General features: G+C 45.1%; 2 annotated features.

Moving 5' to 3' along the window:
* Nucleotides 231–793: an enhancer, noted in NCBI's record as "NANOG hESC enhancer chr17:60183965-60184527 (GRCh37/hg19 assembly coordinates)". NCBI's record gives its function as "activates a minimal SCP1, AML or CMV promoter by ChIP-STARR-seq in naive H9 embryonic stem cells {active_cell/tissue: H9 hESC(naive)}" and the evidence as "EXISTENCE:reporter gene assay evidence [ECO:0000049][PMID:30033119]".
* Nucleotides 5880–6485: an enhancer, noted in NCBI's record as "OCT4-NANOG hESC enhancer chr17:60178273-60178878 (GRCh37/hg19 assembly coordinates)". NCBI's record gives its function as "activates a minimal SCP1, AML or CMV promoter by ChIP-STARR-seq in primed H9 embryonic stem cells {active_cell/tissue: H9 hESC(primed)}" and the evidence as "EXISTENCE:reporter gene assay evidence [ECO:0000049][PMID:30033119]".

Raw genomic sequence — 12544 nt, 5'->3', positions numbered from 1 at the left:
CAGATGGAATTTTGCTCTGTTGCCCAAGTTGGAGTACAGTGGTGTGATCTTGGCTCACTGAAACCTCCACTGCCTGGGTTCAAGCAATTCTCCCGCCTCAGCCTCCCTAGTAGCTGGGATTATAGGTGTGCACCACCATGCCTGGCTAATTTTTGCATTTTTAGTAGAGACAGAGTTTCACCATGTTGGCCAGGCTGGTCTTGGACTCCTGATCTCAAGTGATCTGTATGCCTTGGCCTCCCAAAGTGCTGGGATTACAGGCATGAGCCACCACACCCGGCCAGCATTTATTTTTATTATGATAACTTGCTGTAGCTAATATATTTCTTTTATGTAACTGAATTTATTTATTTTGGCATTTTTTTCTATTGACTTAATGATTACAATGTTTTTCTTTAAGAGCAAGATGAATATCATATTTTCTTCTAGTATTTTAAGATGTTATCTTCTTATATTTAATGCTCTAAATCAGCAGGGTTTCCTTCTGAGATATATGAGGTGAGAATTACAGTATTCTTATGGAAAGGCAAAGTACTTGTGACAGGGCTCCCTGCTTGTGGAAAAACAGCCACTGGTCTGGGTAAAGAGGACTCATGGTGTGTCCCGACTTACTCCTGGGTGACTCTAGCTCTATGCTAGGTGCCTGTACTAGGCACTATGAACCGCAGACATTTGGATTTTGCTTTTATTTATTGTAGCTACAGGAGGATTTCCAAGAATAGAAATGTTTCCTCTACTCCCTAGTGTTTTGAAATAGAGAAGTCACCTGGCCATTTCACTGCCAAGTTTATGAGATAGTAAAATCCAAACACTTAAGTGTTCATCTAGGTCTGTCTGAACAGCACCAGGCTCTAATGTTCCAAACACATTACTACAGGATGCTGGATACCTGGAGATGATGCTTCCAGACCACGAAGGTGGCCATGGTAAATGATAACCCATTCTTATGTCAGCTAGTTGATATCAACCAGCCTAGCTTCTTCTGCAGAGACTGACTGTTGCCCGAGCCACAGATCACTTATCTTGGGGCCATATGACCCTGCTGCACTGTTAAAGGTGTTGGTTTCAATGGTGTAGGGCTTTTTGCTTCCAGGTAAGTCAAAGCTGGGAAAGAGACAAGTAAGTCTTCAACTGCTAGAGTGCTTTATCTAACTCTATAACTAGGGAAACTTCTTCCTTTTGAGAAGGTAAATTTTGGTTTAGTAAAAGCAGAAGGCTGTAAGAATCCCAGGAATAATTGTACCTGGCTGGGTACAAAGTTTACAGCCATGATGTAGATAACCATGGGGCTCTCTAGCCCAATTCTTGGAGTTGGCTTGGAGTGACGCTTTGGCCAGTGGTCAAGGAACCTGGCTCCTGGGCTTATGTTCAGATTGGGAAAGTATTTCAGGAGATTGTGCAGGTACATATGACCTCCCCAAAGTCACACACAATGCTATTCCTTAAATGACTGAGACTCTACATAGGCAAAAGGCAATGCCATGATTTAGACTTACCAATCTATAAGGCAGTTTTTCTCTCATTTTCCTTCCAAATCTGGATAAAGTTGTAGGCTCCTTGAAGTTTTTATTTTGTAAAGACCTGTGCTAGAAGTTAGAAATCAGAGCAGACAGAGATCTCAGATAGAGGACTCAGAAGTGGTAATTCCATAGAGGCAGAAAGCCTCTTAAATCAGCCTCTCCACCTCCCGCATCCCAGGCCCATACCCTTTCTTTATCATAAAGGGCACTGGGGCTGGGAAGAAGGAGGTGGAGAGGCTGACTAAAACTGTCACGAAAAGGAGGGGGTCAATGACAGCTGCTTAAGGTCTCTGCCTCTGCCTCTTAAGGGACTATATGGGGAGGGTTGTCACATGGCACCAGATCTATTGTATCATCCCATTTACATAACAGGGAAGCTGCTTCACTTCTGTGTCTAAAAGCACTTTGCTCCAACTTGTGCTGAGCCAGAACTCTGGAAACAGAGATCATGGGTGAGATAGGGTTTGGTTGGGGGTGAGGGTGAGGGAAGGCACACGCTATGATGATGGCAGAAACATAGCAAAGGGGAGAAGGAATGGGGTTTTTCCAGGACAAGGGTGAGTCCTGGGCCTCCAGTGGAAGATAAGAATTGAGAGGCAGCATGAACATTGAGTGTCCCTAGTTTTTATCTATGCTGCAGTGGCCTCAACTCAGGTGGGAGAGAGACAAACTGGATCAGAGAAAGCTGCCTGAGCCCCCTGAGTCCATTGTTGTTTAGATCTCAAGAGTGGAACCCACAAACCTGAGCTCCCCTGGGATGGGAAACATGTCCTGTGACTAAGGACCAGGCTGCTCCATGGGCCGAGGATCAGGCTGTCCCATAGCCTGAGGCCCAGATGATCATCCGGTGCAGTAGATGGCATGTCTTTGCACCAGGCATTGATGGACAAAGTAGCCTGCCCTTTCTCAGACAAGCTCCGCCACCCGGTCTGCTAATCATGGAGCAAATAGAAAATGCCTACAAAATTAGCTGGGCATCATGGTGCAGGCCTGTAATCCCAGCTACTTGGGAGGCTGAGGCAGGAGAATTGCTTGAAACAAGGAGGAAAACGTTGCACTGAGCTGAGATCACGCCATTCCAGCATTCCAGCCTGGGTGACAAGAACAAAACTCCATCTCAGAAGAAAAAAAAAAAAAAAGAGAAAAAAAAAAAAGAAAATGCCAACTAGTTGAATTGAAACATACTTCACTTCATTTGGCCAACTGGCCATTTCCAGACACATTTTTCTCCATTGTTATTTTTAAACTACCATTGAATCTTAACTCAGTTATTTTAAATGATAACAAAGGAATGGAATTGCAATTTGCCTGTTTTCCTAAAAATCTTTCTATTAATATAAATGAATATATTTATTTCCCAAAATAAATGAGACAAAACCATAGTTACCATTGAATACAGCCAACATATTTATCATGTCATCAGAGTAAATTGCATGATGCAGGGCTAGGAATTCGTAACTTGTTCCCAGAATAATATTTATATTAACCTTCCCTCTACCCATCCATCTTTGCCTTCTCAGGTAAAAAAAAAAAATAGTTTTTAGAGGTCTCACTCTAAACAACAGAGAACTCTAAACAACAGAGGTCTCACTCTAAACAACAGAGGTCTCACTCTGTTGTTCAGGCTGGACTGCGGTGGTGTGATCATAGCTCACTGTAACTTCAAACTCTTGGGCTCAACCCATCCTCTCACCTCAGCCTCCCAAGTAGATAGGACTACAGGCACATACCACCATGCCCGGCTAATTTATTTTTATTTTAATTTTTTTAGACGGAGTCTTGCTCTGTCACCCAGGCTGGAGGGCAGTAGCATGATTTCAGCACACTGCAACCTCCATCTCCCGGGTTCAAGCAATTCTCCTGCCTCAGCCTCCCAAGCAGCCGGGACCACAGTCACGAACCACCACGCCCCGCTAATTTGTTGTATTTTTAGTAGAGACGGGGTTTCACCGTGTTGACCAGGCTGGTCTCGAACTCCTGGCCTCAAGTTATCTGCCTGCCTCGGCCTCCCAAAGTGCTGGGATTACAGGCATTAGCCACTGTGCCTGGCCAAAAGGGTTTTATTGTTTGCTTGTTTTTTGTTTTTTAAATTTGAACTTGACATTGTGAACATATCAGGTAAAGTTGAGCTCATCACATCTGAAAGATATGAACTGTCATTTTTGTATCTGAAGATGATATGCTATAACTATTCCTTCTGCTGATTTAGGCTTTGAGTTGCTTTACAAATTGTACTGGCAGATTTTCCTTGATCAACCTTCTGCCATCAGAGTCTGTATTAGTGAGAGTTCTTCAATCATACAAAACAGAAACAGACTGGATGACTTGAGTAGGAGAGAACTGTTTTGGGAGGATAATAGGTAGCAGATGGGACTCATGGGAAAGCTAGAGAGTCTGCTTGGAGGACAGGAAGCCGGGCAACTCTAGAGGTTAAGGTGGCTGGGGGCACAACGCTGGGACAATAGGTGCCAACCAGCTTTTAGTGTCTAGGTCGTGCCATTCAAGATTCAAATCTTTTTTTTTTTTTTCTGAGACAGCGCCTCACTTTGTCACCCAGGGTGGAGTGCAGTGGTGTGATCTCGGCTCACTGCAACCTTGACCTCCTGGGCTAAAGCGATCCTCTCACCTCAGCCCCGCAGGTAGCTGGGACTACAGGTGCACGCCACCAGGCCCAGCTAATTTTTTTGTATTTTTTTTGTAGAGCCAGGGTTTCGCCATGTTGCTCAGGCTGGTCTCAAACTCCTGTGCTCAAGTGATCCATCAGCCTTAGCCTCCCAAAGTGCTAGGATTACAGGTGTGAGCCACCGTGCCCAGCCCTAAGATTCAAATCTAAGGAAACAGTCTGTTCACCTCGCTCCCTGGCTAGGAAAGAACAAGGCAGTTTGATTTCTAGTCCCATCAAGACTGTACACCATAGAGGAAAGGTATTGTCCCAATCAGAGTGCTTTACCAAAATAAGCCCTGTGTGGCACTAGGGCTCGAAGCCCCAACTGCCCAAAGTGGATCTAGTCCTGAGCGTCCCAGGGACTCATGCTGTCCTTCAACGGCCTCTGTGACTATCCCAGGCTCTAATCTTGAATCCTCGCTACTCCTCCAGGCCAACAGGACCACCACATGTCATTGTCCTCTACCACTGAGGCTGGGGCTCTGGATATAGTGAGAAAGTTTCCTACAATTACAATCTTCATAGCCAACAGAAAATATCTTTTGTCTATGAAGAAATCATAGTTTTTAGGCCCCCAGAATGTCATGTGGATCTTTCAGATTTCAGTTCTCCACCTGAACTCTCTAAGTGAGAGTATTTGAGTGTCTGTATCATACTCAGAGATACTTGTCCTTGCCAAAGACACCAGTGTTCTAAACTTAGGGACTCTTTTTTTTTTTTTTTTGAGCCAGAGTCTCGCTCCGTCACCCAGGCTAGAGTGCAGTGGTATGATCTGGGCTCACTGCAACCTCTGCCTCTTGGGTTCAAACTATTCTCATGCCTCAGCCTCTCAAGTAGCTGGGGTTACAAGCGGTCGCCACCATGCCCAGCTAATTTTTGTATTTTTAGTAGAGATGGGGTTTCACCATGTTGGCCAGGCTGGTCTCAAACTCCTGGCGTTGTGACTCCTGACCTCAAGTGATCCGCCCACCTCGGCCTACCAAAGCACTGGGATTATAAGCGTGAGCCACCATGCCTGGCCTCCTTAGGGACATTTTTCATCTCCTTTCAGTCAACATCAGGTGACTTCTCCGCTTGATTATACAAGCCCCTCTTCAAAAGCTGTCCCTTTCCAGTGTCTCAGGGATTTTACTAGTCCCAAAATTTTCCAGACCATTTTCCTCATGAAACGAAGACTCCCGCTCATCTTTGGCATTCCAGAAACATCCAAATTGAGTCCCTAATGTGACAGAGTTTATGTATCAGCTTGGGATAGGGTGCACAAAGCATGTTTTGCATAAGAGGCTCTTTGTTGTGTTTAAAAGGCTAAACTTAGATCACAGGCCAGGGTACATGGTAGGGGTTGGGGTCAGCTCAGTGAAGATGAATTGCTTGAAACTTCAGCTTGAATTCTGTAGCAACAGAAAGCAACTAACTTGCCTTCCTGCTGCTTATGGTGCCAGCGCTTATGGTGCCATTCTGATAAGAATCAGCACAGTGGGAGTAAGGTCAAGAGTCCAGAGGACTCACAGGGCTGAGGAATATGTGTTACCGGCATTAAAACTCGAAATGCACTTTCCCACAGAAACACTTTTATAAATAGTGGTCAGGATCTTTAGTATTATGAGTACAATATTTCAGGTACATTACGGTTCTGTGAGCTTTTGTGGGCTGGCCTTGGGGCAGAGCCACCATTTGTAATATTGTTTCTATAGGAAAACTTGTTCCCAGTTCCAGACAACAGACCAATAAATAAACTAATAAGCTGGGGATTGCCTATTTTGAAGATTTTTGCCAGTGAATACAATAGATTCACAGGCTTTTACAGTCAGTCAAACTCAGCTTATAGACTTGTGGTCCAAGATGTTGGCCCTGAGCCCAGAAGCCCTCTACTGCCCCTTTGTCCTCTCTCTGCTGAACACTTTGATTTAATTCCCCTAAACCCCTAGAGTCCATTAACCACTACTGTCTCTATCCCCAGGTCCACCTGCAGGCATTCTGCTAAGGCAAAAGCTGAGTACCTCTCATTCTAAGCTTTGTCATTGAAATGTTTCAGGATTACAAAACATTTATGCCAGGTGTGGTGGCTCAGGCCTGTAATCCCAGCACTTTGGGAAGCCCAGGCAGATGGATTACTTGAGGTCAGGAGTTTGAGACCAGCCTGGGCAACATAACAAAACACCATCTCTACTAAAAAAATAAAAATTAGCTGGGCTTGGTGGCGCACACCTGTAATCCCAGCTACTCGGGAGGCTGAGGCAGGAGAATCACCTGAACCCGGGAGGTGGACATTGCAATGAGCAGAGATCACGCCATTGCACTCCAGCCTGGACAACAGAGTGAGACTCCATCTCAAAAAAAAAAAAAAAAGAGATTTAAGGAATCACGAATGAGTATGTACCCATCTTAGAAATAAAATATCACCCGTACAGTTGAAGCTCCCGTAGCCTGTGCCTGCTCTCATGTCATCTCCCTGCTATTCCAGAAGTAATCCCTTTCCTGAAATCAGGCATTATCATGGCCATGTAACTTCTCAGCCACTCTGTTCACTAAACCTGGGCTTCCCTTCTGCTAGGATGGTAGATGTGTTGAAGGTGGGAAAAGACAGTCTGGGGAATATGGACCAGGTGATCCTGGCCCTAACCCAAGTGTTCAGGGATGGGGACTCAGCCTATATTATAGAGATGTCATTTTAGGAAGTAGAGAAAACATTCAATATGTCTCAGACCCATATTCTAGGAGGATCCTGGGAGGAGCAGGCCAGGAAGAATTGGGACAGGGTATCTCTCAAGCTGGGTTTCTTTAGCCCAGCAAATGGTCTATGTCTGGCAAGCATGAAATCAAAACCAGGAAATCAGATAAAAGGGTGGGCAAGAAAGGGAAAGTCTTGCCAGAGAGGGTACCTCTGAGTCTAACATTTCTAGACTACAGGAACAGGACAATAAGAGATCAAAGTCCATTCACTCACTCAGTCATTCAGTCAGTCATTCGACAAGTCCATCCCTGCCTGGGTCACAAGCAATGTGCTAGACATTACAGGGGAGGACTGTAAATAAGAACAAGAAATAATGTCTGCTCTTGAAGAAACTCATAGATTAGAACACAAGAGAGACACAAAAATATTACAATATAATATGGTAAGTTAGAAGATGGTGGGGGCTTCACAGGGCTCAGTAGAGCAGGCTGGGTCAGCATCCAACCCGCACAGTGGGTGTTTAAGAAATAATCCAGGGTGCAGCTTCTTAAGGAGGTAGCAGAAGTCGTGGTGGCACAGTGAAGCTCTAAGAGATGTTCTGGGGCAAAGAAAGGGGATGAGGCAAAGAAAGTCAGAAATTCAAATTCAGCCGGGCTCATGCCTGTAATCCCAATACTTTGGGAAGCCAAGGTGGGAAGGTTGCTTGAAGCCAGGAGATCCAGACCAGCCTGGACAACACAGTGAGACTCCCATCTCTACAAAATTTTTTAAAAAAATTAGTCATGTGTGGTGGTGCCCCTGTATATCCAGCTACTCAGGAGTGTGAGGTGGGAGGATTGCTTGAGCTCAGGAGTTCAAGGCTGCACTGAGCTATGATTGCATCACTGCACTCCAGCCTGGGCAACAGGGCAAGACTCTGTCCCCCCACCCACCCACACCCACACACACACAAAGGAAAGAAACTCTAATTCAATGGATGAAGACGAATTAGGGAGCAGACAGATATTTGGAATAGAATAGGGGCTAGACAGACACGACAAATGTCACCATGTGCTTGTAGGTCCTCCTGTACCTACCATTCTAGATACCACCTTCCTGATACCACCACTTGGAACCCACAGACCATTCTAATCCCCATATTTCTCTGTACTTCTGTTTCTCTCTACTTCCCCAGACATTCCATTAATATTTGTGTCCTATGGAACCCCTGTCTGTTGGTGAATTCTCCTACTTCCTTAACTTCTTCACAGAACTATCTAAAGTGGACACCTTTTTGGAGTGTCTTCCCAGCTCATCAAGACCATCATAGCATCTTCTCACCCATAATGATAGGCCTGTGGCTACCATCTTGTGCAACTGTCCAAGATACCCAACTCCCTCAACCCGTCACTCACTACTGGCCACAGATAGCTGGAGCTGATTTCTGTTATGTGCAACCAGACACCTTGCAAACTCCCTCACCTTCTAGTCTGAACTGAAACCTGGCTTTCCCCTGAGGTTACCACTTCCCCTGTACTTCTTTCGAGTAGAAGCTATTTATTCTTTCATGCCCCCAATACAGGGAGGCATTAGCAACAACATTCTTCCAGTTCCCTAAGACCCTTCTAACAATTTCTTCCCTATGAAAAACCTCTGCCCCAATGAAGTCCATGACATCCAACTTGTCATCTTCTCTCCTTTCATCTCTGTCATCCATCAGCCATATTTCTTAAATACCTGTCTCACTTCTTCTTCCTGGGCGGAAGGGAGATTTTGCTGACTTTGTAGGCCACCCACTCAATGACCCAGCTTCTTAGTTTCCTGACCTTTCATACTCAGCGTCTTCACTTCCAGTTCTCTTCAGTGGACTCCTATGGCCACACCCTGTACTTTGTCACTACCAGAACAGTTCCACCCTGCAAATCTTAAACTCTTTATCACTGTAACTATTCATCCAGCGCTCTCCCCTGACACCATCTGATGGGTTGAGGCCTCTACAAATTTTCTTTTCTTTTTTGAGACAGACTTTTACTCTTTTACCCATGCTGGGGTGCAGTGGCATGATCATGGCTCACTGTAGCCTCAAACTCATGGACTCAAGCATCCTTCTGCCTCAGCTTCCCAAGTAGCTGGGATTACAGGGGCACACCACCATGCATAGCTAATTAAATTTTTTTCTTTTTTCTTTTTATAGAGACAGAGTCTTGTCATGTTGTCCAGGCTGGTCTCAAACTCCTGGGATCAAGCAATCCTTTCCCCTTGGCTTCCCAAAGTGCTGAGACTACAGGCCTGAGCAATGTGCCTGGCCGCCTCTACAGATTTTTAGCTGTGTTCTCAGCCTATTGAATAGGCATTTTTCCTATCAGCATTTCCTTCCCTTTCATCCCCTAGCCGTCATTGCAAACTTTCAGTACCCTTCCCAAGCTCCTCACAATCAAGTGAAACTCTGTGCTGTTGTTCTCTTCATCTAATAATTTAATTATTAATATTATTCAGCAAACATTTATTACACATCCACTAGGTGCTGGGTACCATGGGTACAATAACACAGCTTTGCCAGTGAGGAGCTCACAGTTTAGGAAGGAGGCAGCTGTGATAAGACCTGGAGTTGGGGCCGGGAGGTAGAATGGGACATTTCATGAAGAAAAAAACAACATGAGCAAAACTCTGAGACAGAATTGAGTGTGGCTTGAGGGATTGAAACAAAAAGACCTGTATGGTTGGAAACAGAATGCTAGATAGTGGAACAAGGTGAGGCTGAGTGAGGGGAGAGACAGAAGATCTGCAGTTTTGGAGGTATGTTTTGCTGTAATAAAGATCTGCATTTTGATTTTTTTTTTTTTTTGAGATGGAGTCCCATTCTGTTGTCCAGGCTGGAGTGCAGTGGTGCAATCATGGCTCACCGCAGCCTCGAACTCCTAGGCTCAAGCAATCCTCCCACCTCAGCCTCCTGAGTAGCTGGGACTACAGGTGCACACCACCACACCTGGTTAATTCTTTAATTTTTTGTAGAGATGGGGTCTTGCTATACTGCCCAAACTTCCCTCAAGTGATCTTTCTGCCTTGGCCTCCCAAAGTGCTGGGATTATAGGCATGAGCCACCGCACCTGGCCACAGGATCCACTTTTGAAACAATCACTGGTAAGGGATGTGAAGTATGAGGGATTTTTAGAGCAGCGAAACTATCCTGTATGATACTGCAATGGTGGATACATGTCATACATTTATTATACAACAGGAGACTAAACCATAATGTAAGCTTTGGTTCATAATAACAGTCTTCGGTTAATAATAAGTATCAATATTGGTTTATCAGTTGTAAGAAATGTACCACACTAATTCAAGATGCTAATAATAGGGGGAACTGTGAGTGGCATAGAAAGTGGGTATAAAGGAACTCCCTGTACTATGTGCTCAGTTTTCTGTAAACCTATGAAACTGCTCTAAAAATAAAGTTCATTAATTAACAATTAAAAAATAGGCCGGGCGCGGTAGCTCATGCCTATAATCCCGGCACTTTGGGAGGCCGAGGCAGGCAGATCACCAGGTCAGGAGATCGAGACCATCCTCGATAACACGGTGAAACCCATCTCTACTACAAATACAAAAAAATTAGCCGGGCGCGGTGGCGGGCGCCTGTAGTCCCAGCTACTCGGAAAGTTGAGGCAGGAGAATGGTGTGAACCTGGGAGGCAGAGCTTGCAGTGAGCCGAGATCGCGCCACTGCACTCCAGCCTGGGCAACAGAGCGAGATTCCATCTCAAAAAAATAAAATAAATAAATAAATAAATAAATAAATAAATAAATAAGGCTGTAGAGGGAAGACCATCAGCTGCTGTGAGAAAAGTAAATTGCAGGCAGTGGAAACGTGGGCAGACCATTAGAACACTGTCCCAGAAGCCCAGGCAAGAGAAGATGATAGTGAGCCCAGTTCTGAAGAAAAAGAAGTAGATAGAGGCAGTATTGACAAGACTTGGTGATAGACTGGATTTGGGCAGGGATCAAGGGCCACTGGGGCTTCTGGCTTGCCTAATTCCATGATTAAATGACACCATTCACCAGTCATTACCGAGGACCTGGGACTTTATCAACACCCTCGCTACATGCTGGCGACCTGTTGAACACATGGATTCTCAGCATGTGTGTAAATGTGATGCTCACACAAAAGACATTTCAGCTCTGACCATGATCATTTCCTGCCAGATCTCATTTAAAAAGGAGGTTGTCCCACGAGTCTTATTCATGTTTCAACCATTAATTGAAGTAGGCAAGGTTTGCTAGTTTCTCTGGGACTTGGTATTTATTATACCAGTAACACGAGAAAGCTGAACCAGACAGCCTCTAAGGATCCTACGAAGAGGGGATGGTCTCTAGCAGCTAGAGGTCTTCCAGACACTGAAATATCTTTCATGCTTGTCTTTCCTCAACCCCTGGGCTCTCATAATGAAGAATAATACATCCAATTTGCTGGTCCATGTTCTGTTCTTGGCAGATCTGTAGTTCTGGATTCCTGCTTCGGCGTTCCAGGACTGTGACTTGGGTCTGCATAAACCACAATAACCACAAGCAACTTTGTTGTATTTCTTTCCAAGTACTTCTTTCCAAGTCAACTTTGGGACACACCACCTGATGGTCTCAGAGGAAACTTAGTTCTCTGTGTGTTTCTATTTCAAAATGAAGGCTATCTTCGGACAACAGAACAAACGTGCCAACGTTTTATTCCCAAAAGCAGAGTACACAAACTCCCAGGAGCTGCCAGCCCTTTAGTCAATCTGCCTCTTAGAAAATGCTGTTACTGTGGCCGGGCGCGGTGGTTCATGCCTATAATCCCAGCACTTTGGGAGGCCAAGGCGGGTGGATCACCTGAGGTCAGGAGTTCGAAACCAGCCGGCCAACATGGTGAAACCCCGTCTCTACTAAAAATACAAAAAAATTAGCCAGGTGTGGAGGCACATACCTGTAATCCCAGCTACTTGGGAGGCTGAGGCAGGAGAATTCCTTGAACCTGGGAGCTGGAGGTTGCAGTGAGCTGAGATCGCACCCTTGCACTCCAGCCTGGGCAACAAGAATGAAACTCCGTCTCAAAAAAAGAAAAAAAGAAAAGAAAAGAAAAGAAAGAAAATGCTGTTACTATTCAACACTCCTGGAGCCTCACCTTCTTTCCAGCCACGGCAGTGACATGACACAGAACCTATAGCTAACTGAGCCATGCCAACTTTGTTGCCAACCCACAATCAACAGTGTAAGGGGCTGCCTTTGAATCTGACCTTCTCTACATAAACTCCTAACTGTGGGTTCCAGAAGGAGAACTCAAGGTCATGTGCTGTAGTTGTGCCTTGATGCCTTTGTATGGCTTGTCTAAAATACCATGGCATCTCTAAAATTCTTGGTTGAGAACTGCCTAAGGCTTAACCTGGCATGGTGGCCTGTACCTGTAGTCCTAGCTACTTGAGAGGCCGAGGTGGGAGGATTGCTTGGGTCCAGGAGGTGGAGATTACAGTGAGTTATGATCATGCCACTGCACTCCAGCCTGGGCGACAGAGGGAGATCCTGTCTCAAAAAAAAAAAAAAAAAGTTAATTAAATTCAATTTTTTTCTTTTTTCTTTCTTTTTTTTTTTTTTGAGACAGAGTTTTGCCCTTGTTGCCGAGGCTGGAGTGCAATGGTGCGCTCTTGGCTCACTGCAACCTCCGCCTCCCAGGTTCAAG

This window comes from Homo sapiens, chromosome 17 (genome assembly GCF_000001405.40).
Source record: "Homo sapiens chromosome 17, GRCh38.p14 Primary Assembly".
Classification (NCBI taxonomy): Eukaryota; Metazoa; Chordata; class Mammalia; order Primates; family Hominidae; genus Homo; species Homo sapiens.
This window is presented reverse-complemented; position numbering and strand designations above follow the sequence as displayed.